The following is a 27,838-nucleotide window of genomic DNA, read 5'->3' as shown; positions in this document are numbered from 1 at the left end:
CTTTATTATCTTCTTTCTCATGACTAGTTTTTTAATTTGCTCTTTCATCTCTAGATTATTAAGGAAGAAGCTGATGTCATTGATTTGAGATCTTCCTTCTTTTCTATAACACATAGGCCTTTAGCGTTATAAATTTCCTTTAATTTAAATGTCACTGTTTTAGTGACATTCTATAAATTCTGACACATTTTTCATTTTCATTCAGGCAAAAATATTTTTTAAATATGCTTCTGATTTCTTTTTTGATTCATGAATGTTTACAAGCATGTTACTTAGTTAATGGATGTTTGGGGACTTTCTAGAGATCTTACTGTTATTGATTATTAATTTAATTCCATGCTATGGAGCAATTCTCTGGACCCTTCCTTAACTCTTTGAAAGCAGCATCATTGGAGGAGACAAATTCCTTATACGGTAATCCACAAGTCCTGGGAAAGTAGGCATGAAAGAGATTGCAATGATGGTTTCCAACTTCATCCATGTACCTACAAAGGACATGAACTCATCCTTTTTTATGGCTGCCTAGTATTCCATGGTGTATATGTGCCACATTTTCTTAATCCAGTCTATCATTGTTGGACATTTGGATTGGTTCCAAGTCTTTGCTATTGTGAATAGTGCCGCAATAAACATACATGTGCATGTGTCTTTATAGCAGCATGATTTATAATCCTTTGGGTATATACCCAGTAATGGGATTGCTGGGCACAGGTACCCTAAAACTTAAAGTATAATACAAAAAAAAAAATAAATAAATAAATAAATAAATAAAATAAAATAAAATAAAGAGATTGGAAGACTTAATTTTTAACAGTAGCTGTTCTGCACCCAGCTGTTTTCACCAGTCTTTTGCCCCAGCTGGAGTTTAGCCTTATCCCAATATTATCCTGTGGTCACCAAGCAATTTGAGCTACTCCTTCTGATTTATGCTTCACAGTGGCAGTGAAGCAAGTGGCAGCCTTCGTTGTAATTTAGTGTATAGACAAAAGCACAAGTTAAAAATCTATCCCCCAAACCTACCCACCCTCTTTCAAGCCAGCTATTCTAGAATGCCACCACTTCCTAATTCTCATTCTACACGATACACACACACACATGCCTACACACACATACACATGCATACACACACACACACACACACACACACACGTCTTTAACATCCTCAGTGGTATCTTATGGTTTTTATGTTAATTTCTTAGGCCTGTGCTTTTTTTTTTTCTCTAGAAAAAAATTTTATTAGAGGAAGCTAACAACCCCTCTAGTTTCACCACCTTATAAGAAAATATATATAGCCCATGGCGTGTAGTATTCCTCCACATACTCAAATAAATATTTCTAGAATGCCTATTATGTTTCAGGCACTGTTCTATATGCTGAAGATAGCCGAAGTAAACAAAGGAGACAAAAGTTACTGTTCTCATGGAGCTTACACTCTAGTGAGGTAGACAGAAAATAAACAAGTAAAATCTAGTGTTTGTCAGATGGTGATAAGTGTTGTGGGGACTGGGAATGGCATTTCTGAATTAAAATAAGGTAGTTGAGGAAAACATCATCATTTAGCAGATAACTACGAGTAGAAGCTTGAAGTTGGTGATGAAGTGAGCCTCACACATAGCTGAGGGTCTTCTAAGCCAGAAGGGTCATGAGGGCAAAACCCTGAGCAGGACATTGATTGGTAACTTGAAGAGCAGCAGGGAGACCTCTGTACCTGATCAGAGGAGTAACAAAAAAGGTCAGAAAGATATTATCATGTAGGGTCATTGGACAGACTTTGCATTTTACTCTGAGAGAGGTGGGAAGCCACTAGAGGATTCTGAGTGGAAAAGTGACATAATGTTCACTTTTGAGAATAGGGTTGAGGGTGGAGCAAGGTCACTTGTAAAAAGACCAATTAGGAATCTATTGCAATAACCCCAGTGAGGCATATGATTGTGACTGGTACCAAAGTATTGAGAAATAGTCAAATTCTGGATACTTTTTAAAGGTAGAGCCGACAAGCTTTGCTCATAGATTGAATGTGTGGGTGATATGCAAGAGAGGGGTCATCAATAAATCCAAAATGTCTGACTCATAAAAACAGACAGATAGACAAGATGGAGGTACAAATTTGGGACAAGGAGTAGATTCACATTCAATTTGTAATGTGCTAAGTTTGTGTTGTCTATACATTATCAGCATGGAGATGTTAAGGAGGAAGCTGACGTAAGAGCCTGTAAGTCAAGGAAGAAATCCAGGCTGGAGCTATAAACATGTGTTGTCAACATCTAGATGGCATTTAATGCACTGAGTCTGGATGAGTGAATTTCGGTCAAGGAAGAACTGTTCTGGGACACTCCAACATTTAGAGGTCAAAGAGTTAGGAGGACACAGCAAAGAAGATTGAGGTGAAACAGCCAATGAGGTTGGAAGAAAGTCCGAACACCAAGTGAGGAAAACGTTTCAAGGAAAAGAGAGTGATCAATTGTGTCAAATGCTGCTGAGAGAACTCAGATAAGCTAAAGACTAAGAATCCACTATTGGATTTTGCAGTGTGAAAGTTGTTGGTAATCCTGACTACAGCAGTTTAATACCCTGAGTCTTTATTTGTTATTTGCCTAACTTGTTCTGTTAATGAGGTAGAGATGTTTTAAAATCTCCAATTTGGCTGGGTGCAGTGGCTCATGCCTATAATCCCAACACTTTGGGAGGCCGAGACAGGCAGATCATGAGGCCAGGAGTTCGAGGTCAGCCTGGCCAACATGGTGAAACCCCGTCTCTACTAAAAATACAAAAATTAGCTGGGTGTCATGGCGCGTGCCTGTAATCCCAGCTACTCAGGAGGCTGAGGTAGGAGAATCGCTTGAACCAGGGAGTCAGAGCTTGCAGTGAGCCGAGATTGTACCACTGCACTCCAGCCTGACGACACAGCGAGACTCTGTCTCAAAAAAATAAATAAATAAATAAAATAAATTTTTAAAAATCCCCAATTTACAATTGTACTTACGTCAATTTATCCTTCTGCCTCCAATCATTTTTTCTTTATATATTTCAACAAAATATTATTTGACTCACAAATTTCCCTAACAGTTTTACCTTCATTGTGCTTTTCCCTTAAAAAAATAAAGCATTTTCCAGCTTAATGCTTTTATATTGAACGTGATTTTATTTTATTGTGATCTTTAAATTAATACCTTTTAGAATTACACCAAAATCAGACAAAGTTCATAGATGTTGCAGTACAATGGAAAGAAAAATGTCAAGTAGAAAGCAATCTAGTTAGAACTAAAAGGGCTAGGTGTAGTGGTTCATGGCTCTAGTCCCAGTTACTCAGGAGGCCAAGGTAGGAGGATCTTTTGAGCCCAGGATTTTGAGACCAGCTGGGCAACATAGCAGATTCCAATTCAAAAAAAAAGAGAAGAAGAACCGAAAGCACATTTTATTGCTCTAAAGCCATTGTCTTCTCCCAGAGCCCAGGCCAAAGTATGCATGTAATTTTCAGATTTCTATTCAAAGCTAAGAAGATAAACAGCTTCCCTACTGGGGGAATGGTCTTTTTGTCACCTCTTGCTGACTTTGCCCCCTCTACCCTTTTCCCTGCCCCATTGCCCATGCTCCGTATCTCATAGATTATCTTCCTCAAAGCTAATTATTAATAGCACACCTCTGCTTAGCTATCACTGTGGTCCTCTGTTACTCATAAGATATTGTCCAACCTCTTTAGAATAGAGCGCTGAGAGTCTGGATTAGCCCTTCATAGCTTCCACATCCTGCCTAACATTCTACATCTCTACCCTTCCTACCTACCCTGTACTCCTCTAAAACTATTCATCATACTTTGTCATACCCAGTACCTCTGACCATGTTTCCTCTTTCATAAAATGGCCTTCTCTTTTACTTGAACTGATGAATGCTCATTCATTTTCTAAGACTCTTCTTAAACATTTATGGCACCTTTTCCAGTCAGAACTGATGTCACCCACCCTTTCGTTCCCTCAACAATTTGTTGTCAACTCCTTGTGGTCATAATCTGAGGCATCATTATTGTGTTGCTTCCTTCTCTACTGAAGCGACTGGAGAACAGTGACTGTACCCAGCCCAAGGCCTGGAACTCAGTGAAGGCTTAATAAACATTTGTGGAATAAAAATTTAATTGATGAAAACATTAATTATATTCAATCAAAACTGTAATATTCTTATGTTTTAAAATGTCTGTGAATAGAGAACTGAACAAGATTGAGAAAAAAAGTAGATGTTAAATTTTCTTAGATCCCATAGAAGAATAATAATTTCTTTTCTCATCTCCAGATTATCTGTTAGAATACTTCAGTGATGGTCATTTAATAAACAAAATGCCCTGGTAGCATCAAATAGTGTTTAACTTGGGAACATTTTTCAGTTCACCAAGTGATCTAGTGCTGTAAATCCATCCTTGGATAGCTTTAATCTCCTATAATAACCAACACTTAATGCTATTTTAACAGAATCTGCTTCAGACAATGGTATACAAAACTAAAGAAATTATCGATAACTTTTCATAAATAAGCAAACTTGGAAAAGGAAACATTTGGAGATATTTTATTTCTGTGATAAGGAAATCTCACATAAAAGTCTTTATCATTTCATTAATTCACAAAAAGTGTTAAATCAGTTAAAATTAAAGAGAAAAGTTCACACCGAATGAAAGACTCGTTTTGTCTTCTCTTCCCCTGCAATATGAGCAAAAATATATTAAATACTAATTAAACTAATAGGTGCAGTAAGTAACTGGTTCTATTATTTTATATCAGAGAAATATTGGATACGTAGGAAAGTCTTCTGATAGCATTTGTTGAAGTCTTTTAAATAACCAAAAAGGATTTTGCATAGTTGAGCCACTAATTTAACATTGTGTGCGTAATTTTGTTCAAGTGTTTTTAAAATAAACTTTTTTTTGAATTCCATGTATTTTTAAGAGAATTAATGGCACTCCTCATGATCTATCTCATTATGGATTGATATTTCTGGAGAAACAACATTGTATTCAGGCTTGTCTGAATGTTTTGTTACCTGAAGTAATTTAAACTCCCAAAGCAGCACGAGTTTTTGAAATCAGTTTTTGTCCCTGAAAATTAAGAATAAACATAATCAGATAAAGAAATGGATTATTATACCAATCATACAGTTAACACTCTACAATCCGGGGTGAATTCATAGGTTTGTAGATTAACTAAGTTAAAAATGAAGAAACACATCTCTGATGCCAACAACCTGGGATAGTAAAAGCCAGGGAGAAAACAATATTCTTTCACATCAACAGTTTTCTTCTATAACAATCTCCAAATCAATGCGTATTCTCAATCTTTCCCCTTCCTCTACAAATTACAAGTTATTAGAAATTAAAAGGTTTGCAGATAAAGCACTGCTACTATTTGTTCATGTTCTCTATATCTAAATAAATGTCTTCTCAGATTAGAGAACATTAATCTTCTTGTGTCATGTTTTTCAGAAATGCTTCACATCAAATCTGTTTCACCAGTTTTATCTAATTTGGTTATCTATGTCCCACCCTACCTGATCCCACCAAAAACACACACATATACTGGTAAGTGCACACACTCAAATGCATCTAATTATATTATTTATAGAAAAACTCTACATTTCTAAATATATCTGTCTTTGGATTTTACATGGTGAGAAAGGTAAAATTGACAAAAACGCTAAGTTATAGAATATCTTTTTAAAGTATAGTGTTGCTATATTCAAATATATGTAGCAATACAAACTAAAGATTTGTAAAATTTAGCCAATTATCTTGATTGTGATAATCATTTCACAATGTATAAATATATTGAAACATCACATGTTCACCCTAAACATATATAATTTGTATTTGTCAATCATGCCTCAATAAAGCTGAAAAAAGGTAATTTTTTTAAATGTTAGGTAGAATCCCCTGGTTAAAGAAAATCTGGCTAATTATCCAGCTAAAATTACTATGTAATTAAAATAACTCCTAAATACTACTCTGTTGATGTACAAAAGCAAGCTTCTAAATGAGTTCAAAAACATTTTCTACAAATAGACTCCTAATACTCTGTTTGCACAATTAATTTGCTATTAAATCCTTTAATCCATTTAGCTGAATTGATCAATTTTAGGCCAGAAACTATCTAAATTACCGTCAATTATTTACACATTCACTTTATGGGTTTCTCTACTAGGAAATAAATTAAAATTACTAATTCTATTAATATATTTTAATATTATAAATTTTCCTAATATTAAGCAAGAAAATGTGATTATTTTTTAAATCTTATAGAATCCCTCAATCTGCTTCTCAATGAAATTTAAATCTCTCTGAAAATATTTTAAAGTTATAAATTTGTAGGGTCTTCCTTTCATTATCCACTACAGAAAATTCCATAGCAAGTATTTTGAGTATGAAATGAGCTGCATGTACCTCTTCAGCAAAGCAGACTTCCTGTTCCTGGCCTTGGCAGCATTTCTCCAACAGGCCTGAGAAATCTGCAATGACAGCCTCAAGTTGTTCCTCTGTTATTTGTGGCTTTTGCTTCACAAGGTTAATGAGAAACCTGTGATTTAAAACAAAACAAAATACAAGAGAAGTCTGTTATGCAATGCTATTTTTCTACAGCCTTCCTAGTAGAGAATTTTCAGAGCCTAAACCCTTACTCCATCAACCTATCACCAGACTGACCACACACACCTTGTCTAGTACTTTCAGTAGAAAGATTGAGGCTGAAAGCATGCCAAGTGTTCCACCAGCCTGGAGTTGTGCAGGTTGTGGATAAAACACTATTTCATACTTGACCATACTTATGTGTAGTGGAAGGCAATCTCCCCTCATCCCCCAGGAATATCCTTTCCTGTCCGCTCTTCTTAACTGTGTCTTATCTACACTCAAAGACCCAGATCTCCGAATCCTGCCCATCCAGTTATCACACCCCTTATCTGGGCACTGGCAGCACTAATTGCCTGCACTGCTCACTTAGCAAGCCTTTCATGTTGGACTTAGACCAGAGCAATAGAAAGTAGACCAGAGCAATAGAAAAAGCTTGCCAGAACAGGCAACATTCTTATCATACTGTGAAACATACCTCAGACTGTGATAGAGGAAAAAAGAGAAGAATGGGTTTTCCAATGAAGGAAGACTATTTACAAAACAAGTGAGGATTAAAATGCATGGGAGTTTGAAGAACATAAGCTCCATTGACTTGCATGACCATCACCATTACAAAAGAGCTCCCACAATGAACTGAAATGTACATGTCATTTCTTAACACCCAAACTGCATGGTTGAATTAAATAAGATGGTTATTCTCTTCAAAGTGTAAATAGTGTAAAAAAAGATTCAATGATGTGTTTCCTGTGCTTGGAATGGAAGTACCCAAATTTGCTGCAAAGATACACTCTAATTCCTCAGAATAGATTGCCCACTTTTCCTCAACCCCCAAATACATATCACAATAACAGTTACAACAGAGATTATTTTTACAAACAGGAAATTGTCCACCCTCGTCAATTTTTCTAGACCTGCTTCCCCAATGAGACTGTGAAGACACTGAGACAAAACTATTTTCAAAGGCATTTTAAGTGTTTTGGGAGTAACGCTCTGTTAGTGAGCCCAATAGTGTTAGGTGAGCGAGGTAGAAGTCTCAGTTACTCTTTGGGGTTGTCATTCTTTTCCATGCTAGCAAGTAACAGTTTCTTACTCTTGCTTCATTGTTTGCAGCGCTACACCCTGAGCTTGGCACAGATCCTTATGGAAAATGAACTTGTCATCAGAGAATGCAGGAGGGACATATGTTTCATCCACCACCAAGCTGCTGAAGCATGGCCTCCTGTTGGCATATGAAGAAGTGCAGCACTGGCCAACACCAGGGTTTACTGGAGTCATTTCATGTCTGATACATAAGTGTCCGATAATAATGTCAGCCTGGTTAGGAGAATGAGAAAAAAAAGTAAGGAGATTGGGCATTAGTCACAAAGTTGGTTCAGTTTTTCAGAAAACTGCTGCAATAATTTCTAATGCCCAGCAATTTATAATTAATATTACAGGAAAATTTGCTATGTAGGATCATGTGACATTATATTGTAAATTCCAGGATTTACCCATTTGTTTGGGCTAAGCCTTAGCAAGTAGTAGCAGATGGTCCATATGTGATGTTGAGGATAGTCATTTAGCTATTTGTGTCAGCTATTTGAAACATGCTTCCAGTTACATACACACTTCTAAAGGACAAAAATGTCTCTGCCTTTATGTTTCCCATGTGTATTTAGTTGAACTTTCCATTTTTCTTTTGATAATCACTATCTGAAGGTAAGAATAGCACAAACTTACCCCTTTTATTCACATACATATACACATGTATACACTTGCAGCTAATATATCATCCTAATTGAAAAGAAGTAAGAGCAATTTTGTGGGTTTTTAAGACTTTCCTAATGTAGAATCTTGCTACCTTGCCTACTTAGGAGATATTTCTTAATCACCTAGTAATAACTTGTAATAAGAAATAATATGTTTTGTGTGCACTTTATCTGTCAGACTAGTGCTGTGTGAGTTATGCAGATTATCTTGTTTAAAACAGCTGTCGTATGAGGGTGGTATAATTTGTATTCTCAAATGTCAGATGAAAAAACTCAAGCTTAATGACATAAGTTGCTTTCCCACTGTGATACAACTAAAGAATAGTGAAAGTAGAATGCGGTTGTTGGCTGGTGGCCTCCGGAACATACACTCCTGAACCATTACACCATCCTGCATCCCTGCAGCCTCCCAGCATGGGAAATTCAACAAACAATTGAGGTGACATTTAATCACAAGAACTCTCCTTTTACTCTTAACCTTTGGGGAAAAAATGTATGACATGAAGACTAACAGCAAATAACTCCCCATTATGAAAAAGAGGAAAAAGGATAAAATAGACAATTTTGTTTGCAATTATGACTTTATAGGAAAAATATTTTTAATTCATCCTGTAATCTTATGTATGATACTAGTGACATTAGGAAGTAAAGAATATTGGCATTACTGACTCGAAAGTCATTTTACTATTCAGAACATAATACTTATCCTGTGCTGTACCCTATACCCTGCGAAAGGGAACCAATTATTCCTGATGTCATAATAATAATATCATGTTACAAAAGGTGAAAATATAAATATGGCTAAAATAGCATGACTAATTTTAATCAATCAAAGATAAAGCTTTTTTAAAACATCAAAGTAAGTATATGAACAAAAAGCAGAAATTATGATTTGAAGTTATGAATTATGAATTGTTATGAATTATGAGTTACATGTTGGTCGTTCTGTCTTTCCGATATATAAAGTTGGCTCAGATATTGTTGACTAAACTGGCTGAACTTCCACCAGCCACCCTGGAGGAATAGGAAGCATGGCCACATGCCAGCCATCCAGAGCTGGGTTCTCACACCCCTCCAACCGTGACTAATCAAACAAGCCTCCTAAGGCCATCTCTACATTGGTTTTTACCGTCTTCCCTAGAGGGGAATTATGAGGCTATTTCAAGTCAAACAGGGCAGAAATGAGATGGGACCAAACCAAGCAGACACTCACCGCTCCCTCGCCACAGGCCAATAGTTTGTCCTCACTGAGTTGGCAACAAGTGGCTGCTGTGGCTGCCATTTTTCTGGTGATGGCCATCAGCTCCGACGAGGTCAGCTGGGGGGCTTTCTTTGTGTAAGCAACGAGAAACCTGAAAGAAGCATTTTTTAACTAAGTCCTGCTGAGTCATTCATGAGTTTTTAGCCGCCTTGCTTCTTCTCACAGACTCTCTACTCTCATGCCAGAAGACATGAGGTCAGCTCGTTTGTTTCATCTACATGGTATTTGAACCAACTTTTGAGATGCATTTACTCTAACAACCACTCCCTGTACTCCTATTATAGAAGCATATCACAATGAAAAAGCAAACTCCAGGAGGAAGCCTGACTTGTATTCTCAACCTCGGAGCTTCATTGATTTTAACTGTGATCTTTTGGTGCTTTAACTCGGACAGACTATGACAGAATGGATATCTTTACTGCAAAAATTTGCACAGTATGGGGAACTTAAAGTCAATACCACAGATCAGACCTCACAGGTCATTCTTGTTGCTTCCAAAGGAGGAGAATGGGGAAGGCTACATTCTCTTTAATAATTTTAATTCACTAAAAATACTGTTTACAAAAACATACGCATTTTGTAAGTAATATTCTCCTAGTTTCTGGAAGAGGCCGCAGCTTCGCTTTGCCAATGCTTGGCTCTCCTGGATGTATTTCTGTAATTCTTCTTCCTGAAAATGAAGAATTATTACATATACATTTTTCTTTTCTTGGATGCATAACTTTGTATATAAAATTGATCAATATTATATACTATTATAAAACCAATCAGAGATGTTTAAATATTAAATATGGTAAAGTGTAAATTTTGATAATTACAGAAAATGGATTTTGGGGAGATTAAGTTTAACATTTTATAAATCACAAAATCATTTAATGGCAAAACTCAATCTTTGGATAAATGGTTACAGTTCTTTCTGTACCAAATTCTTGCCTTTCTGAAGTTATCCAAAAATGAATAATGAATACTACCTTTATTTGTGGATCAAAGGACTTTTGGTTAACATTTTTATTTCTACACTTGATCTTAGCCAAAAGGCTGAGAAGCAATTAACATTTTTGTTTCTAAAGCAAGCCACTAGCTGCTGACTGCTAGTTAATAACAGCTTAATATCTAGACAAATAGATATAACTGGCTAACAACTAGTTGAAAACTAGAGGCTTTCAAACAAACAGCATTTTTAACAGATGATATCAATCCAGTTTTTCATACTCCCCTAAAATTCTAGAGCAACTTACTCCTTTATCTTGGCATTCAAGAGGGTTTTCAGTCTGGAAACACTTCTCCAATAACTCCTGGTATCCTTTAGCAACTCTTAGAATTACTGAGACAGCAAGCTGAGGATGTCTTCTTGAATATTCATGAACAAAACTGAAATATGTGGAGAAAAATATTTCAAGTTATTGGAACTAAGAGACAAAAGGAGCCATCACTTCTCCAGTTATTCCTATATAATATGGCATGTGGAAGTTAAATTCAAATAAATAAACCTGAAAATCAAATATGATTTGAATTATATGAATGGCAAAACTGTTAATACAGACTGTGATCCTTCAAATTGTCCTGTAAAATGGCTTTTTGTTTTCTCCTGCATCTCTCAATTTGACTTTTCAATTACGGACTTTATATTCATTTATTCAACAAATATTTTTCCAGTGTCCACTCTTTGCTAGCATTGCTTTAAGCAGAACGGACTCAATGATGTCTAAGATAAATACCTGCCCTCTGAAAAGCACACATTATAGGGAGGCAGAACAAATAAACAAGAAATAGGCCATCTCATTTCAGTTAGCGATAAATCAATGAAAATAAATAAAGATGAAAAAGAGAAAAAAGGATGATACCCAAGGTGGAGAGGCCACTAACTTTGAATGTGGTCAAGAAAATTCTCTCTAGGCAGCTGATATCAGAACAGAGATCAGCTAAGTGAAAGAAGCCATGCAAATATCTGGGGGAAGATCATTCCTGGCTGAGAAAATTCTACTGCAAAGAACCTTTGCAACTGAAGAACTGCTTCTATTAAACAATTAGATTTAGATGTGCATGGATGTGTAAACTTAAAGGTAATTCTTGACTTTACTAACCGTATTCCCAGATTATAGGATTAGTTCTGTCACCAATCAGTTGTCACTATGTGTCTCCTAAATCTGAACTTTATTCTAGCTTACATAATTTTATTTAGCAGTGCAAACAATGTGTGAATGTTTAATTTTAATGCAATAATAGAGTAATATCTTCAGGCAATATTAAAGAGAAAATTGGGCCTTTATTTTTATTACTACGTTAGAATCAGACTTTTAAATCTAGAAAGACCCTTGGAAATTATCAAGTATAATGTCCTAAGTGCTACACAAATCCCTCCTCTAATAGTGTCCATAGTTACATACTATACAATGAAGGAAAACGTATTAACTTGATTGCTTTCTTCCCTTAAAGGCAAATAGAGTGAGAACGTGACCTATCAGTTGTATTAAAACAAACTACTGTACTGCAAATGTCTCTAAACATGTTTTGATTTTCTTAAAAAATACAAAACATGTATTTAATACATAGCCAATAAGCTGTTCCTATAAAAGTTCTTCTACCTAGCATTATCTCTTGTGTTATCTTTTGGAGAAAAGTTTTTTTTTTAACATGCGTAGCAAGAGTTCATTCTTAATCATGAACTCTTCTTATTACAAAAATATCCATATCCTATTTGAGAGTTCAATGGTGGCCTTGATATGAGTAATCTTTACAGGATGACAATGCTTCTGATTCCAGAGAAATTGATGTGAAATAAAATTCAGCTTCATAAGCAAAGCAGTTAATGAGTCACAGTGGTGAACGCTTCACCGTTAAACACCAAATCCCATTACTTATTCCCTGGTTATCTACTGAAATCTATTTTGGCTCAGAACATTCTAGCCAAATATCCTCACATATTGAACTCAAAAACCATAATCATCACTCTCCATTTCAACAACGCAAATCTGTCAGCCACATAATCATTTTTACTTGCATGAACATGCATTTACAGAGTGTGTTACCTTGCCAAGAAGATATTTTTTTCCCCTGAAGAAAATTGGTTAAAATCTCTATCTCCTAAAAACCTGTTTAGATTTGGAGATAGACCTTCAGGTTTTTCATCATTTTCTGCATGAATTATACATTGACCACGTTCCAGCGTGGTCAGTTTGCAGCATTCTGTTATTTTGTTTGACAGAGTGTCTTGTTGAGAACATATGTAGGACATGATTTTTTCCTGCAACAGAGAAAATAAAGTATAAGTTTTAAAGATTTATTCTTTAATAAAGGATCTCAAAGCCAGCTTTAGAAAAAGGAAGAAAGGGGAGGGAGGGAGAAGGGAACAAAGAAAGAAGGAAAAAAGGCCAGGAAAGAAGGAAGGGGAAAGGGAAATAGAGAGGGATGGAGGAAGGAGGAAGGAAAGAAGAAGAAATTACATAATTTTATTTAGCAGTGCAAACAATGTGTGAATGTTTAATTTTAATGCAATAATAGAGTAATATCTTCAGCCAATATTAAAGAGAAAATTGGGCCTTTATTTTTATTACTACGTTAGAATCAGACTTTTAAATCTAGAAAGACCCTTGGAAATTATCAAGTATAATGTCCTAAGTGCTACACAAATCCCTCCTCTAATAGTGTCCGTAGTTACATACTATACAATGAAGGAAAACATATTAACTTGATTGCTTTCTTCCCTTAAAGGCAAATAGAGTGAGAACGTGACCTATCAATTAAAAAGAAATTTTAACTTGTCTCCCGTTTTAGTGCTTTCTCCCCACTTTTGCCTTTTCTCATTCCTTTCCACTTACCTGTTTGTTCAATTCTTCTTTCCATAGTTGTAAGCTAAATCCTATGTTATTTTAATTGAAAACCTTTACAAATAAGAGGGAAATGTGCTCAAATAAAATAGGATGCATGTTGCTATATGTATTTCTATTAGCATTCAAATTTGCCCCTAAACAACACTTGCAACTGGTATCATAACATGGAGAGCAAACTTTCTGCTCCACGAGAAATTCCGTAAGAATGATAATCATCTTTATCATAACATGGAGAGCAAACTTTCTGCTCCACGAGAAATTCCGTAAGAATGATAATCATCTTTATCAGAACATACTGCAGTGACTGACTATGACCTTCAGAGGGCAGTCTATAGATAATAAAATGGCAATGCACCTAAGTGGCCAGAGAGAGGCAGAGCTTACATATATACCTGTCATGGGACTGAAAATTCTGTACATTCTCAGCAAAGATAATTAGAACCCATTATTCAGCTATCAAAATCCAACTTACATATCATGCTGAAATTAATGTTTCCACTTTAAAGGAAAAGGGTGGTTATGAGCTCCAAAAATTGAAAAAATTAACTTTTTAAAAATGACAACGAGAAACAGTAAAATTGTCCGTTCAAAATGGGAAAACTGAGCTCAAAGAAAAACAAAATACTTCTTGTTGGTTTTCCTAGTATGCCATATTTTTAGAAGAAAAACAAGTAAAGTAGTACAGTCGCCTGCCAGGCTGCCTCCTCCCACTTCTTCCCCAGCTCCTCAGGGACTGTCACTCTCAGGCCTCCTCTGCAGCCTTGGCTTCTTGCTTACTTCAAGCATCTCACTGAATTGCCATCGGATGGGCTGAAATGAGCATTTTATCTTCACTTTCAGCCTTCTGGAAACCATAGTCCAGTGCTGGTTATCAAGCCATTTGAGTACCTAAGAGCAGTAATTTTTAAGCTCCTTGGATTTTAATCTCTTTGGTATGTCATGGAGCCCACAGAGACAGAGTAATCTGAGGGTCAACAGTCCTCTCTTGTAAAATCTAGGAAGTCTAGGGTTAGCCAAAATAAGCCAATGCCACACTGCTTAAACCACCACTGACTAGAGCACACTCAAGAAACTGTTGCTGGGTTTTTTAAATTTTGTTTTCTAATTCTCCGAGACCACTTTATTCACACTTGTCTTTGGCAAGGCTAGCTTTTTACCTGGTAGGACAGTTACTTGTGCAATTTTTATTGCATTCGTTCATTTAACAAACTATTATAGAATGCCTTCCATGTGCCAGGCATTGTGCTATGGAGATAACAGTAAACCAAGGCAGTCCCTAACTCCAAGGAGGTCACTGTCTTATCTCTCCTATCAGACTGTGAATTCCTTGAGGTCAGCCTGTGCTTTTAAAACAAGTGTCTGTCATAGTGGCTAGCAGATAGAAAGTATTTAATATATATTTATTTGTCAAATGAAAGAATAAATGAATGAAAAAATAAATACATTAAACCTTAGTTTCCTCCCGTCCTCCAAGTAACTATGGAGAAGCCTTCTGAGAAGTTCCCACGGTTTTTTTAGAAGTAAGAAATAGATGAGCCTTGGTTTCACAAAAAGGGGTATAGCTAAAGTGAAAGCCAGGATCAACAAAAGATGGTTTAAGTTTTACTACCGAGAATTCTGCAAATTTAAGGAGTCACCTAGTTTACATACTCTGTAACCAATTCAAGTCAAACAACCTTCTCCCTTTTAGAATGAGACAAAAAGAAAGAAAAGGGAGTGAAAATCTTCTATTTTAAGAAGCAAGACTCTTCACCCCATCCTGCAGACAATCCAGCACATCTCCTCTGCAACAGTGCTCATGTACATGGGCCACATCCAGGACTAGTTTCTGGATTTCAGTAAAATTAACTTTGGTAAACTTCTGACTCAGTTTAGTAACAGTTCTAGGGAAAAAAAAGAAATTAGAAATTAATTTCTTGGTTATCTGTCAAAATAAAATAGAATTTATAGAGTATTACTACAGTAGAAGTTTCAAAGAGAAATGACTGAAATTCCCTTGTTGTTTAAAAAGAAAAGGAAACATGTTTTAAGGCTTGATTCCAGCCATATCTTTCAAGGTGGTAGCTCTGTAAACTGTGAGCTGGCCCCACAAATGGTTTAGAAATAATTTATCTTTTCCTAAAACATGTCTTAAGAATTAAGGTAAATTATTTTTGCCATTCAACCCTTATGCTGAGCATTTGTATTGAGTGGACATAAAACTTTAAAAGGATAAACAATTAAGAAATGGAAAATTCCATGAAAATGAGAACCATTTTTTACTGGGGTAAAAAATACTTCTGAGAATCCAGGAAAGGAGGCGTATGTGCAAATCAATGAAATGGGACAAGAAAGTGGAGCAGATTAAACATTTCAGGCATACCAGTGTGCCAAGAGAGTAATGTGGCCAAAAAAGAAGTAAGAAATAAAAATTCTGGTTTCCTCTGCATATTTCATTAAATTTTAAGAGTTGTCTTTGTAAAACCATTGCTCCTAGAGAAAATAGTGTTACTCCTGCTTCTGATAAAGATGGATCTTCTCTATAAATTTAGACCACTTAGCTTTCACTTATGGATAGCAAATGATAAGGGTATTATAATACTATCTCAATTTCTATTTTATTACTAAGATAAATTTTTTTAAAGTAGGTCATAAATTAATCTTTCAATTTCTAATTGAGTTGGAGGGTAGTTAAGGCATAAATCTGACTTCTTACAAGAAGAAATTTCAGTCTTTAGAACTAATTCTATTACTAAAAACTTCATTCTAGATTTCCATTGTCTACAATATGCTTTAACGTGTTATTTAACCAAACAGCAATCAAATAAACTCTGAATATATATACTTACTACTATTCGATTAGCAGCTCAGATATTTTCATATACTAGAAATGTTTTATCATAAAAGAGTTGATGAGTACTTTAAAGAAGTTATATAATTTAAAATGTTCTTTTCTCCTGACACTAGATTCTAATATTATTGCCTCAAAGGAATATTTTTATGGGAAGCAATAAATGCTATAAAGAGCCTTATAGAAGATTAAGAAACACAATTAATATAAAGAATTTCTTGTTAAGGCAAAAGTTTTAAATGACACTCAGTGAAGGCTGACTTATTTTGTAGAAGAGCTAGAAAAATATGGTCTAGTGATGAGGTATAATTTGATGGCAGGCCAGAACTTAAGTGTCTTAAAGAACAGGTAAATAACATAAACTTTAAAAGTCTTTTCTATGTATTATCTCAGCTAGGCTTTAGTAAGTGTTAAACTGACTTATCCGTTAGCTTCCTTCTGATCCTAAGAGTTCATGGTTCTAATCCCATTAGCCCTCATCAAAGGGGTCACAAAGGGGTCTTCATTCTCTAAAACAGCAACAATTAAAAAAACGAACCCAAATTGCAAAATGGTAGTTCTGTAGCTCTCACCCTCTTCCCTAGATAGAACTTGAACTTACATGGCTTGGAAAGTTCGGGTCCCAAAATTTTTCATTACTGCACATGCATGTTGATTTAACAAGCTGCTTTCTCTTAATTCTTTTGTAACTGTTGCTGCCTAGATGTAGAGGAAACAAAATGTCATGAAAGCATATACTAACATTTTCTTTACAAGCTCTAATATTTAGAAAAACAACAAGTATAGGTAAAATGAAATTCCATAAAATATGTTTTTTACTAAAAATTATAAATGTCATACATTATCGCAGAATATTATTGACTCATTTATTCTTTTGGGTTAGTTTATATGCATCTGTGCCAGACAAATTTACTCAAAGTACCTTGAAACAAAAACATAACTTTTATACTGGGGATCATAAATGAACAACTGTACCTTTAAACAGCTTAAAGACAAATTGAAGCCTGCTAATTTCTTAAGTGTCTTCTCAGTTACAAAAAATACGATTGTATCACGGCTTGACACTGAGAGTAGTCAGTTCTCAGGAAATTTTTGTTATAGGACTGCTGGTAGCAAGTAGTTAATGGTGGATATTATTCTACCTCTCTAAACCTAAAAAAAATTTTCTTCTCTAAACCTCTTTCCTAGTTTGTTAAAGGACAAAAATACTTACACCTCAAATTTGTTCTAAGGTTTAAAAAAACAGTAAGTATAAAGCATTTATCATAGTTCTTCATTTTTTCTCTCTCCTCTGCTCCTCCTTTTCTCCGTTTTCTTTCACTTACTCCTTCCCATTTATAGCACCCTCTCTTTCTCTCTTTCTGTCTGTCTGTCTTTCCTTCTTTATCCCATCAAACTCACTTCCTTAATAATAAAATTATTGTTGACTTAATGAATAGATAATAAAAACCAGCAAATCCAGTTTTGTTCACTCGAAGAATATCAGACTGCTGAACTATTTCTCTATTCCAAAAACGATACTCTCCACAATTAAGCACGTTTTCATTTTTAACTTTGTTTTGTTTTAATGAGTCATAGACTACAGTACTGGTTCAGATATCCACGCAAATATGATACCTTTGTTTGGAAGCATTCAACTGCATTTTCAGCTTTGCAGCAAGATGGAATTATTTTGTCATAGCGAGCAGCCCAAAGAAGAATTGTAGGTGCATACAGGAAGGGATGCCTTCTTGCTATCTCATAAATGAATCTGTGAAATAAAATAGAGCTAGAAGATTTATAAACACCTAAAAATAGGACTACTACTGCTTGGAACTGGACACTGGGATTTATTTAAAGATTCAAAAACAACAACAACAAAATGCATTTGACTTTGTCTTTACTGTGTTCCTAAGGGGAAAATCATCATATTTTTTCCACATGTTGTCAAAATTTTCCTCACTAAAGATCCTGGGGGGAAAAATATCTGACAGATGGTACCAGATTCTATTATGAGAAGAAAATAGGCAGACATGCTAACCATGATTCTTATTAAAAGGTCCTTTTCAATAAGCCTACTCAGATATGTTTCAGGGATCAGCAAAGCCAGACTTCTGCTAAGTGCAACAGAAAGATGGACATTTTATCCCTTGTCAGTGCAGAATGGGGTTATGCACCTGGATAGTCGCCATAGCAGAGATGTTCTAAGGGCAATCTCTCTATTTATCTGGTTTAGGAAGTAACATGGAAGGCAGAAGTGATGAAGAGTTACGTACAGGCTTCTCCAACAGAGAACCTGGGGTCAAATGTACTAGCTGTGTGCCCTTAGCCAGTTGTTTTAGCCTTCCAACCTTCAATTTCCTATCAACAAAATGGGGGAAAGAAGAAGAATGAAGAGGAAGAGGAGAAGGAGGCTTCAAAGTTTGTTTGTGAGTGTTAATCTGATCCTCTGTGCAAGCAGACATGTTTCCACAACATCCTTTTTTTTTTTTTTTTTTTGAGACGGAGTCTCGCTCTGTGGCCCCGGCGGGAGTGCAGTGGCGCAATCTCGGCTCACTGCAAGCTCCGCCTCCAGGGTTCACGCCATTCTCCTGCCTCAGCCTCCCGAGTAGCTGGGACTACAGGCGCCCACCATCACGCCCGGCTAATTTTTTTTGTATTTTTAGTAGAGACGGGGTTTCACCATGTTAGCCAGGATGGTCTCGATCTCCTGACCTCGTGATCCGCCCGCCTCGGCCTCCCAAAGTGCTGGGATTACAAGCGTGAGCCACCGCGCCCGGCCCCACAACATCCTAAGTGTTCAGTAAACCTTTGCCATGTCTGTGTATCTTGACCATGCTTGACCATGCTTGGATCTCTAACTTTTATTTCTAGGCAATTAGGTGAACACAAAACACCAATATATGGCTCTGGAAAGCATCAATTTGGTGCAATACTAATATATTCTTGAACAAGGTAAAATTGAGAGTAGAATGGGTAAAAAGAAAAAAAAAAGGTGTATATCTCTCAAGGGACTAATGGAACCTCTGGTAGGTTTGTCCTGTGGTTTGTACTACATCTAGCGTGCTATGGAAACCAAGTTACATTGAATGTTGCTCTCCTAATTACCTTGTCTGGGACCTCAGCAGACACAACACCAAAGAAACATTATACCTCTTACTGGGAGTACATGAGTACATTGCAAAAATACTAAATTAGGCTTGCCATTGCTGTGTTTCTGAGGTTTGCATCTACCTTTAAACTGGATCCTTACTTGTTCATGAATGTCTCCCTGTCTTCTTCATATGCTTCACAGCTTGTGACAGGTTCTGGAACTTGGAAAAGTGGGATCGATGCTGGAGTGGGCTTTTTGTGTGCAAGAAAACAGTTATGTCTTCCCTCTTCACTTTGGCTGCAGCAGTCTGAATGTCCGTACTTCTCCAAAATTTCTTTCTCATGGCAAAGTTCTTCCAGAAAGGCAGGTAGCTATAAGAAATATTTTATGTTTGGAGAAAGACAACTAACTTTGCTTTAAAAATCTATAAGACACATGAAACATTTTCTAATGTCTAAAATCAGAACTATAGATTCTGAAAAATTTTCCATACAAATTCTAATGTATTTTGTTTCAGCCTGATGAAATAGATTTCTTTGCTGCCTTATGGAAAATGAGACTTTAATGTCCAAACAATAAAAGGAAAAAAGCCATGCAATCTTTTGTTTCTCTTTCCCAATTTTGAATTATTTTATTTTTCCTTTTTGTGTTATCAAAAATTTGGACTAGGATATATAAACTTTTATAAATATATAAACCATGTTTCATGGACACAGGGAGGGAAACAGCACACACTGGGGCCTGTCAGGGAGTGGAGTGCAGGGAGGGAGAGCATTAGGAAAAATAGGTAATGCACGCTGGGCTTAATACCCAGGCAACAGGTTGGTAGGTGCAGCAAACCACCATGCCACGTGTTTACCTATGTAACAGACCTGCTCATCCTGCCCGTGTACACCAGAACTTTAAATTTAAATTTAAATAAAAAAAGAAACTGAGCAAAATAATATTTTCATGATTCTCATTAAAGATGTAACTTTTGGAATTGCAAATACATATGTATATATTATGGTATATACATACATATATATACATATACACACACACACACAGACATACCACATTTCAGACATAAATGCTCATTTTACATGCCATCCTTACAAGACAATAAAAAACTGCATATTATTTTCAATTATAAATAAAAATGATTTTGAAATGAAATAATTATTTTTTAAAAAAACACTTTTCTTGGCCACAATTACATATTTAGCTAAAATGTTTTAAAATGTATGTGTTTCCTCCTCTGTGACTTACCCTTACCAAACTCAGATGACAGCATCAATATTCCACAGAAAGCATCTGAGGAATACATGTGTTTCATGTATCTGAGGGAACTTTTATGTAGCTTTTATAGCTGCTACAGTAATATTTAGAGAATCCTGGAAGGCTTACGTAAGATTTCTAATTCCCAATCCTCATTTAAAAGACATACCTTTGAATTTACAAGAATAAATCAGCGATCTGTAACATTACCTTGAACCTCTAATTGGTTGTAAAGTTGCAATAGATAATGTATTCTTGTTTTTTTATACACATTTTGAAAAGATTATCAGAACAAGACAAAAATAGAGATGCAAAACAGAAATTTTTGTCAATTCATAAATTTCAAAGTTGGAAAGAACTTAAACTATATCCTTAAAGGAGCATCTCTTCTATGATATTCCAGGTACATTGTCTTTCAGCCACCTAATTAACCCCACCATAACAGAGTATTCTCTGGGCATGTTGTTTTATAATTGGAGAGTTCTAATCATTATCAAGTTTGTTTCTATGTTGAGATAAAATAAATAATAAATATTATTTGTTGAGCTTCTACAATGAAATATCCTTATACTAAGAAAAGTATTTAGTGTTTATCTAAAATTCAGATTGAACTGGGTATTATGTTTTGTTGTTGTTTGCTAAACCTGGCAACCCTAACGATGTGCTATGCATCTTACATTCACTATAGTTATAGTGTAATGAAGCTACTAAGACTGTCAATTTTAAGCCAGATGGTCTAGTTCAAATCCTGGCTCTGCCATTTGGTGGTTCCCATAAGAAAGTTACTTAAATTCTCTGAGCCTCAGCTTCCTCAGTTGGAAGATTAGCATCTATCTTCAAGGATTATTTTAAATGTTTAATAAATAAATATAGGTAAGCAAAGCTGATATCCTGCCCAGAAGCCCGAGCCAGCATCTCTTGACTCACTGGACAACCATTCTGATTCATCAGTGCTATCTATCCCCTATGTCATAAAATATTTTTATTATCAATATACACATTATGCTCCCTAGAATAATGCCAGTCACATTGTGTGTATAATAAAAGTTAGCTACTATTGCTGTTATATCAATTTCCATGCTAACTATGAAATGGGAGCTATTATCATCCCTTATTTTACAGATAAGAAAACTGAAGCTCAAAAAAGTTAATATGCCCATAGTCATCAAGATAATCTTATTTCAGAACCTTAGCTCTCAGTCATCATATTTATATGGTCTCTTTATAATAACTACCTATTGTTCTCTTCTGCCCTCTTTAGCAATTCAGAATGAATCTAATCCCTCTTTCATACAATAGCTCTTCAAATATATAAATGCATTTTTCACTGCTATTTTTGTATCTTCTCTTCAGCATGCTAAATTTTTGTCAAATATCACAATGCTTTTTTAAAATTATTCACTCACCTGGTTTTCTAAACACCCTGAAGACTGTTCATCTCCAGTGGGTTTCTCAATTGCAGTCAATGCATCTTTCACCATTTTGCTTACTTCCTTGTAAGTGGCTTCTTGAACAAACTGGGCAAAAAATATGGTAGCCCTGAAACAAAAATACGTGTGAATCCTTAAGGAACAGACCTGCAGCAAGCTTATTTTTCTCAAGTATAGTTTTTCATTTGTTTGTTTTGTTTTCTATTTATGTTGTAATCTGTTTAGACATTTGATTTGTAAAATTATGTAAAATTAGCTTCCAGGTCATCTGAGAAGAAACTTTAGTCTTTTTCTTGTTTTCTTTTGCCATAAATATACATATAGATGTTAAAGGCTAAAATAAGTGGATTTCCCATAAGAGTGGTTTCTCCTTCTGTGACCATCCATCTACTGTAATGTACCCATAATTGAGGGTATCTATATTCTTTATGGTTACTTTTAAATTTAAGCAAAAAAAAATTGGTAATTAGACAGACCTCTAACAGTGTCTATTCCCAGTATGATCAAGGTCTAAAACCCAAGACTACAGTGCTCATGGATTGACTCAAAGCAATCCTTATGCAGGTTTGGATGTGCAAGGAGTAACAGCAACACACTACTTTAAATTCTTTGTTAGAAATTTTTAAAATGTGGAATGGAAAGACATCCAAGAGACTAACATACTCTCCACAAATAACAGCAAATAGAATATTTTATCACCTATGGTTTGCTGCTAAGATTTAAATAGTATACAGAAAAGAAAACATTATAATATCACCCTGTTGGTACTGATGAGAAAAATTCCTGAATTAGTATATGGCTGTCACTGATCAGACACTAATCTTCAGTTTCTAAAATCTGATTTGGTTTGACTCATGAGATTTCAAGGAATCAAAAGGTCAATGTCGAAGACATTAGTCAACAGTTTAACCTCTTCAACATCAAGTTGATATTCAGTATGAGTAACTTTTCTTGAAATTGTCCAAATTGCTTTTGTGCTTTTAAGAGCTCACAGGGGTACCCAATTTTATTTAAGTATTTACTTATCCTTGCTTTACACATTTAAAGTACATTTATATAAGCAAAACTTACAGGTCAGCTAAACTTATCTCTGCAGTACATTGGTAAGAATCCAATATGGAAGCTGGAAAGCAAAATAAACTTCATGAAACGTGTTTTCAACTGCAACCAAGAAAGTAATCATTGTTACATATGAATGTTTGTGTTTCAGTTAGAACTGTACAGTTTCAGAATTAAAAGAACATTAGGGATAACCTAAGCATCTTAATTTTATACTTGAGGAAAAGAAAACTAGGAAACTAAGGAATGAAGTTAACAAGCATAATTTATAGTAGACCTATCACTAAAATCCAGATTTTGTCTTCCAGTTGTTTGGTTTTTCCCTGTACTGTAGTGCTGTAACTGTCCTGAAAGTCAAATGGTTAAAAATATATTTCAGGCATTCTTTTGAACATAGTTATACTACGGTTTGCCATTCATATCCCAGTCACAATATTTCTTCTTCAGACCATCAAATAATGACCCATTTTTCTGTATTAAAAACAAAGATTTTATCTATTTTACTAGTCTGAGGGAGTTATGTGAAGGAGCATAATTCTGGCTTCTTCACATATAAAATTTTATTTATATTCATATATATGTACATATATGTGTATATATATAATTTTTCAAAGTTAATATGCATACCATTGAAGTGTAAAAATTAATTCAACATGAAACATACAAACCATTCATCCATTAAACACTGCTATAACTTTGTAAACCTCTTGTAAAGTTACAAGTTTATCTTTCATTTAAATATATCCATCAGTTAAATATTTTTTCTCCATGTGGAATAATAAATATGAATAATAAATCAAGACAAATTAATGCAAATTTTATAATTTAAAAAATTTTGATATAGAGAAAAGACAAGAAAAACACAAAATATCTCACCTATTCCATATTCATTTCTATGCAGTGTTCTGGATTCAGTAAAATTTAGTAGGAAAATTAAAAAAATTGATTCCACCCACTTCATGGTTGCTAGTTATTTTGTTATTGGCAGTGGTGGAAGCACAATATGGAAAATCATGCTGAAATTCTTTTATACTCTTTTCAGGCAATGCCTGTTAACTAGTAACCTTTTGTTGGTATATCTGTTACTTTATGGTATTTCCTTAGGTTGAAAATGGGACATTTGCCAATAATTAACAGCATAGCGGTTATTTGTATTTTATGTTCAAGGACACAGAGCTCTTTGGGGCAGAAAAAAAAAACTTGCAAACTTATTTTATTTTGCAAATATAACAAATATTCTCCTCAAACTACAGAATATTCAAAGAGATGACTTGTCCCTAAGTTGCAGAATAATTAATTTCTCTCAAATTAAGTTAATGAAGCCATAAAGAAAAGACAGCAGATTTGGTATGCAATTCATCTAAATACATTAATTCTTTAAAACTATTAAATGCCTATCATATGCCAGGCACACAAGACATTGTCTGACCAATTCAGACTCTTCATCTTGCAAATATAACAAATACTCTCAAAGTACAAAAAATTCAGAGAGATGACTTGTCCCTAAGTTGCAGAATAATAAATTCATTTCAAATTATCATTGCTTGATAATTATGCTGTCATTGTTTAGCTCAGAAACACTTTTCACTTAATATGTATGTCAATAAGGTACATTTTAAAGTATTTAGTATGCGATGTATGGCTTAACATAGAAAACTTAGAGCACAAGCCCTAATAAACCAAGTCCTATAATAATTTTATTTGCACATGTGTCTTTATAAAGTGGGTCAGGTGCATCATTCACTTAGCAACTCAAGATGATGATGTTAATACTAAATGATGGATGCTAAGAGTGGCTCACCTCCTATCATCCCTGTCTACAAGGGTTCCCGATCTTGGCTACACATTAGAATCACTGGGGGAACTTTTTGAATTCCCAATGCCTAGTCTGTAACCCAGACCAGTTAAATCAGAATCTGTGGAGTTGAGACCCAGGCACCAGTATTTTCTAAAGCTTCACAGGTGTTTCATTATTCTAAAGGTAAGATTATAAAATCAAATAACCCACACCAGGAAATAAATTAATATGGTACATTCATAAAGTAGGGTGATATACAGCCATCAAAATAACTTTGTGGAAGAATATTTAATGAAATGGAAATATGCTCATAATATATTGTTAACTGAAAAACAGGACAAAACAATACATGGAGAGTGCTCTCATTTGTGTATCATTGTACCTCCTCTGTATTCCTCCCACCCTCTAAAAAAAATGTTGAATAAAAGACAGAAATAATGGACAACAAAGTTTTAACATTGGGTTTCTCTAGATGGTAAGATAAGTGAATTTAATTCTATCTCTCTCTCAAAACTTCTTCAATGAAAGAGCAGTATGCAATTTTAAACATAAAATTTTTAAATAAGCTAAGTACAGTACTTAAAAAATAGATCATACTGCAAGCTACTAGGGCACACATTTAAACAAAAAGGGTTTACCGTCAGTAGCACTTCCAGCAAATACAAACATTTATCATAGTATAAACAAGGTCTTCAATGCTAATCAAGTACAATTCCCATTCATTTGTTAGTTTTTGTCCATTTTCTGCTATGCGTGTCTCTCCTAAGTTTTGTCTCCTAAGGAACATGTTAACAAAACAGGCCTTGCTCACGTACTCTCCAGAAAGAGGTAGCACCATCCTTGTCTATCCGTTTGGATTCCAGGATAGTATTTACAAAGTGCAGTTCTTCTACTCTTCCTCAAGGGGGACTTTACTCAAATATATGAAAGCCAAAGTATTTGTTATGAAGGAATACCTGAAAAGCAATAGTCATGAAGTATTAGTTATGAAGAACTGAAATAGAGTTTTATGAAGCAAACTATATAAGCTTGCCCAAGCATGGGCAAAATATCCCAAAGGCTTTCACAGTGTCTGGTTCATAGCCAGGACTCAGCAACATTTGATGAATGAATAATAAATGTATTTGTTCCAACATGGGTTTAATGTAGAGAAAGGGGTTACATTTGGCAAATCCCAGATTCTATAAAGTCTGAAATCTTTATAACTTTACAAAACATATTTCAGCTTTTCTGATATACATATATAGATATAGATATAGATATAGATATAGATATAGATGTAGATATAGATATATCATCTTCAAGGCCAAGTAATCCAATCTGATCATCTCATCAAAAGATTAGAGGGGACAAATGTAAAAATGCCTGGCAAATGGTAGGCCTTTAGTAAATTATGACTATTTCAATATTACAAATATATATATAAAAATACACACACAACTACAAATAATATGTACACATCAAGCCAATGTATGTTGTGTCAGCCACCAGTTCATCAAGATGTCGATGCGACTACACCAGGAGTAACAACTTTTCTATCAGTTCAGGTCCTGTTTGGACTTTTCCTCTGATATTATGCTGGTTTTGTGTCATCCTCCAATCTCCTTCCATATTCTGCCTTACGGAGCAGATGTCTGCATTCCATGCCATATGATCAGAGAGGCAGTATAGCACAGTATTAATCACGTAAAGTTGGGGAACTGGTTTGAATTTTTGCCCTGTCACTTAGCTACATGACTTTGGGTGAGTTAATTCATTTCTCTGGGCTTTATCTTTATCAACTATAAAATAAGGATAGTGATAGTACCTCCTTCATGGTTAAATGAGAATTAAATAAATCAATAAATATAAATGCCTCAGAACCGGGTCTTGCACAAAGTAGCACTCGATAGATGGGGTTTTATTTATTCATTCAATAAAATGTTAAGTCTGCATTCCAGGCACTGTTTTTGGATGGGAATAATCAGCAACAAGAGACAGGCACCATGTAGCTCTTGTTGAGCTTACTGCCTAATCAGAGAAACAGACAATAGTATCAGTAATCACAACATGGTGTGATGGATGCTGTGATTAGTAGAATGAAAAGAGGAACTCATGACATCTTTGGAGGGGTCAGATAAGGCTTCCTGGAGGAAGTAACATCTTCATGGAGATCTGAAAGAAAATTAGAGGTGGGCCAAATGAAGAGGGAGGGTATAGTGTTCCAGGAAAATGTAAAAGGTGGTGGAAAAACCAACCGGTAAGGGAAAACAATGCACACTTAGGGAATGAGAGAAAATGCAGTTTTGAAGAGGCACAAAGTTTAATAGTAGAAAATACTAGATATTGGGAATTCCTGGCAAAGTTGGCAAGGGCCACATCTCAAAGACTTTTTAAATGGAGTTTATAACTCCTTCTGGGACTATTATAGACAACAAAAGGGAGCTAATAAAAATCATATTTGTATTTTGAAACTGTCTCTTTTGTTTCAAAAGGGGATAAGACTATGATAAGGAGACCAGTTAGGAAGTTTTCGCAATAATACTGTCAAATAAGTGGCCTGGATAAAGCTGAGTGGTATGAATGAGATAAAGTCAAAGACTTAGTAACTAAGTACATGTTCAGTTTTGGATATATTTAGTTTAAGATAAAGTGACCAGTTTACCCAAACAGTCCTGGCTCTATGCCTATTGACTTAGTGTAATTATTAATCAGGCTCCCTTTTCACTCTCATCTCCCCATAGGTGGGATGAGCACTGGGCTAAAAGTAATTAGATTTTAAGGAACAAGAGGACCCTATGTGCTACAGGACACATTTTAGGAAACATTCCAGGCAAAACTCCCCGGTTTGTATGTTGAAACGTCTTTAAGCCCTCCAAGTGGAGACGTTGATGTGCATTTGAATACTACTTTTTATCTTCTGGAACAAGATTGAGGCTAGAGATAGATATTTGGGAATCATAAGCTTG

General features: G+C 35.1%; 1 protein-coding gene across 2 annotated transcripts, besides 36 other annotated features; it reads right to left on the bottom strand.

Annotated features, from left to right (window-relative positions):
* On the bottom strand, window positions 4,142-24,095 carry AFP (alpha fetoprotein). Of its 2 annotated transcripts, NM_001354717.2 has the most exons (16): window positions 23,969-24,095; window positions 23,105-23,156; window positions 22,010-22,142; window positions 19,657-19,714; window positions 19,503-19,514; window positions 17,888-18,020; window positions 16,872-16,969; window positions 15,194-15,323; window positions 12,640-12,854; window positions 10,849-10,981; window positions 10,183-10,280; window positions 9,563-9,701; window positions 7,692-7,915; window positions 6,419-6,551; window positions 5,026-5,080; window positions 4,142-4,685 (listed from the first exon to the last, which is right to left on the bottom strand). In NM_001354717.2, exons 5-15 carry the CDS (start codon window positions 19,508-19,510, stop codon window positions 5,036-5,038), a joined length of 1,356 nt encoding a protein of 451 aa, NP_001341646.2. In that variant the 5' UTR covers window positions 19,511-19,514; window positions 19,657-19,714; window positions 22,010-22,142; window positions 23,105-23,156; window positions 23,969-24,095; the 3' UTR covers window positions 4,142-4,685; window positions 5,026-5,035. The 2 variants fall into 2 exon arrangements, with proteins under 2 accessions (NP_001341646.2, NP_001125.1); NM_001134.3 differs by having other exon boundaries at window positions 19,503-19,714.
* Window positions 9,034-9,534: an enhancer, noted in NCBI's record as "H3K27ac hESC enhancer chr4:74316499-74316999 (GRCh37/hg19 assembly coordinates)". NCBI's record gives its function as "activates a minimal SCP1, AML or CMV promoter by ChIP-STARR-seq in naive H9 embryonic stem cells {active_cell/tissue: H9 hESC(naive)}" and the evidence as "EXISTENCE:reporter gene assay evidence [ECO:0000049][PMID:30033119]".
* Window positions 9,034-10,406: a biological region, named in NCBI's record as "P300/CBP strongly-dependent group 1 enhancer GRCh37_chr4:74315627-74316826".
* Window positions 9,207-10,406: an enhancer, noted in NCBI's record as "P300/CBP strongly-dependent group 1 enhancer chr4:74315627-74316826 (GRCh37/hg19 assembly coordinates)". NCBI's record gives its function as "activates an origin of replication core promoter dependent on BRD2, BRD4, P300/CBP, MED14 and CDK7 cofactors, with strong dependence on P300/CBP, by STARR-seq in HCT116 cells {active_cell/tissue: HCT116}" and the evidence as "EXISTENCE:reporter gene assay evidence [ECO:0000049][PMID:35650434]".
* Window positions 9,535-10,035: an enhancer, noted in NCBI's record as "H3K27ac hESC enhancer chr4:74315998-74316498 (GRCh37/hg19 assembly coordinates)". NCBI's record gives its function as "activates a minimal SCP1, AML or CMV promoter by ChIP-STARR-seq in naive H9 embryonic stem cells {active_cell/tissue: H9 hESC(naive)}" and the evidence as "EXISTENCE:reporter gene assay evidence [ECO:0000049][PMID:30033119]".
* Window positions 24,069-24,265: a promoter, noted in NCBI's record as "-169/+29 promoter fragment". NCBI's record gives the evidence for it as "EXISTENCE:reporter gene assay evidence [ECO:0000049][PMID:2462558]".
* Window positions 24,069-24,265: an enhancer, noted in NCBI's record as "-169/+29". NCBI's record gives its function as "functions as enhancer of SV40 promoter; stimulated by dexemethasone" and the evidence as "EXISTENCE:reporter gene assay evidence [ECO:0000049][PMID:2462558]".
* Window positions 24,069-24,351: a promoter, noted in NCBI's record as "0.3 kb promoter; -230/+29; SspI/HindIII fragment". NCBI's record gives the evidence for it as "EXISTENCE:reporter gene assay evidence [ECO:0000049][PMID:7541712]".
* Window positions 24,069-27,837: a promoter, noted in NCBI's record as "3.7 kb promoter fragment". NCBI's record gives the evidence for it as "EXISTENCE:reporter gene assay evidence [ECO:0000049][PMID:2435718]".
* Window positions 24,069-27,838: part of a biological region, named in NCBI's record as "alpha fetoprotein (AFP) 5' regulatory region", that runs on past the window's edge. NCBI's record gives its function as "regulatory_interactions: AFP | LOC111832671".
* Window positions 24,100-24,114: a protein binding site, noted in NCBI's record as "C/EBP site-1". NCBI's record gives the evidence for it as "EXISTENCE:protein binding evidence [ECO:0000024][PMID:17188819]".
* Window positions 24,118-24,124: a TATA box. NCBI's record gives the evidence for it as "COORDINATES:motif similarity evidence [ECO:0000028][PMID:2580830]".
* Window positions 24,138-24,165: a protein binding site, noted in NCBI's record as "-5C>A and -65C>T HNF1 sites; increased binding with mutations at -55 and -65". NCBI's record gives the evidence for it as "EXISTENCE:protein binding evidence [ECO:0000024][PMID:14699509]".
* Window positions 24,206-24,228: an enhancer, noted in NCBI's record as "promoter HNF1 site; C/EBP site-2". NCBI's record gives its function as "enhancer when multimerized" and the evidence as "EXISTENCE:reporter gene assay evidence [ECO:0000049][PMID:15144905, PMID:17188819]".
* Window positions 24,208-24,223: a protein binding site, noted in NCBI's record as "C/EBP site-2". NCBI's record gives the evidence for it as "EXISTENCE:protein binding evidence [ECO:0000024][PMID:17188819]".
* Window positions 24,209-24,223: a protein binding site, noted in NCBI's record as "-119 HNF1 site; binding and promoter activity increased with A allele at rs587776861". NCBI's record gives its function as "positive regulation of promoter activity" and the evidence as "EXISTENCE:protein binding evidence [ECO:0000024][PMID:7684942]".
* Window positions 24,255-24,275: an enhancer, noted in NCBI's record as "GRE". NCBI's record gives its function as "mediates induction by dexamethasone" and the evidence as "EXISTENCE:reporter gene assay evidence [ECO:0000049][PMID:11549270]".
* Window positions 24,266-24,497: a transcriptional cis regulatory region, noted in NCBI's record as "Sp region; -400 to -169". NCBI's record gives its function as "negative regulation of promoter activity" and the evidence as "EXISTENCE:reporter gene assay evidence [ECO:0000049][PMID:1719374]".
* Window positions 24,398-24,414: a dispersed repeat, noted in NCBI's record as "17-5". NCBI's record gives the evidence for it as "EXISTENCE:motif similarity evidence [ECO:0000028][PMID:1719374]".
* Window positions 25,512-25,918: a silencer, noted in NCBI's record as "Sd region; -1822 to -1414". NCBI's record gives the evidence for it as "EXISTENCE:reporter gene assay evidence [ECO:0000049][PMID:1719374]".
* Window positions 25,824-25,840: a dispersed repeat, noted in NCBI's record as "17-4". NCBI's record gives the evidence for it as "EXISTENCE:motif similarity evidence [ECO:0000028][PMID:1719374]".
* Window positions 25,852-25,868: a dispersed repeat, noted in NCBI's record as "17-3". NCBI's record gives the evidence for it as "COORDINATES:motif similarity evidence [ECO:0000028][PMID:1719374]".
* Window positions 25,858-25,888: a silencer, noted in NCBI's record as "31 nt silencer fragment". NCBI's record gives the evidence for it as "EXISTENCE:reporter gene assay evidence [ECO:0000049][PMID:1719374]".
* Window positions 25,866-25,882: a dispersed repeat, noted in NCBI's record as "17-2". NCBI's record gives the evidence for it as "COORDINATES:motif similarity evidence [ECO:0000028][PMID:1719374]".
* Window positions 25,889-25,905: a dispersed repeat, noted in NCBI's record as "17-1". NCBI's record gives the evidence for it as "COORDINATES:motif similarity evidence [ECO:0000028][PMID:1719374]".
* Window positions 27,393-27,415: an enhancer, noted in NCBI's record as "C/EBP site B4 or B2 site-3". NCBI's record gives its function as "CCAAT/enhancer binding protein-responsive enhancer" and the evidence as "EXISTENCE:reporter gene assay evidence [ECO:0000049][PMID:15144905, PMID:17188819]".
* Window positions 27,393-27,585: an enhancer, noted in NCBI's record as "domain B liver enhancer". NCBI's record gives the evidence for it as "EXISTENCE:reporter gene assay evidence [ECO:0000049][PMID:15144905]".
* Window positions 27,397-27,415: a protein binding site, noted in NCBI's record as "C/EBP B2 site-3". NCBI's record gives the evidence for it as "EXISTENCE:protein binding evidence [ECO:0000024][PMID:15144905, PMID:17188819]".
* Window positions 27,427-27,837: an enhancer, noted in NCBI's record as "-3.7 kb to -3.3 kb; HindIII/HaeII fragment". NCBI's record gives the evidence for it as "EXISTENCE:reporter gene assay evidence [ECO:0000049][PMID:2435718]".
* Window positions 27,523-27,542: an enhancer, noted in NCBI's record as "C/EBP site B3 or B1 site-4". NCBI's record gives its function as "CCAAT/enhancer binding protein-responsive enhancer" and the evidence as "EXISTENCE:reporter gene assay evidence [ECO:0000049][PMID:15144905, PMID:17188819]".
* Window positions 27,526-27,542: a protein binding site, noted in NCBI's record as "C/EBP B1 site-4". NCBI's record gives the evidence for it as "EXISTENCE:protein binding evidence [ECO:0000024][PMID:15144905, PMID:17188819]".
* Window positions 27,544-27,626: an enhancer, noted in NCBI's record as "54 nt core enhancer". NCBI's record gives the evidence for it as "EXISTENCE:reporter gene assay evidence [ECO:0000049][PMID:2468995]".
* Window positions 27,561-27,591: a protein binding site, noted in NCBI's record as "HNF1 AT-motif". NCBI's record gives the evidence for it as "EXISTENCE:protein binding evidence [ECO:0000024][PMID:14522900]".
* Window positions 27,561-27,591: a protein binding site, noted in NCBI's record as "ING1 AT-motif". NCBI's record gives the evidence for it as "EXISTENCE:protein binding evidence [ECO:0000024][PMID:14522900]".
* Window positions 27,562-27,585: an enhancer, noted in NCBI's record as "HNF-1 site B1; C/EBP B1 site-5". NCBI's record gives its function as "HNF1 and CEBPA-responsive enhancer" and the evidence as "EXISTENCE:reporter gene assay evidence [ECO:0000049][PMID:15144905, PMID:17188819]".
* Window positions 27,567-27,578: a protein binding site, noted in NCBI's record as "C/EBP B1 site-5". NCBI's record gives the evidence for it as "EXISTENCE:protein binding evidence [ECO:0000024][PMID:17188819]".
* Window positions 27,569-27,583: a protein binding site, noted in NCBI's record as "ATBF1 footprint site". NCBI's record gives its function as "antagonizes induction by HNF1A" and the evidence as "EXISTENCE:protein binding evidence [ECO:0000024][PMID:1719379, PMID:7507206]".

This window comes from Homo sapiens, chromosome 4, assembly GCF_000001405.40.
Source record: "Homo sapiens chromosome 4, GRCh38.p14 Primary Assembly".
Classification (NCBI taxonomy): Eukaryota; Metazoa; Chordata; class Mammalia; order Primates; family Hominidae; genus Homo; species Homo sapiens.
Note: the sequence above shows the minus strand (reverse complement) of the source record. Positions and strands in the feature narration are given on the sequence as shown.

Coding starts and splice junctions, on each gene's coding strand:
- AFP (NM_001134.3), bottom strand. CDS start 24,053: ATGAAGTGGGTGGAATCAATTTTTTTAATTTTCCTACTAAATTTTACT. Junction 19,715..22,009: donor CAGGGTGTTTAGAAAACCAG/GTGAGTGAATAA, acceptor TATTTCTTATAG/CTACCTGCCTTTCTGGAAGA. Junction 5,081..6,418: donor AAGTCTGCTTTGCTGAAGAG/GTACATGCAGCT, acceptor CTTAATTTTCAG/GGACAAAAACTGATTTCAAA.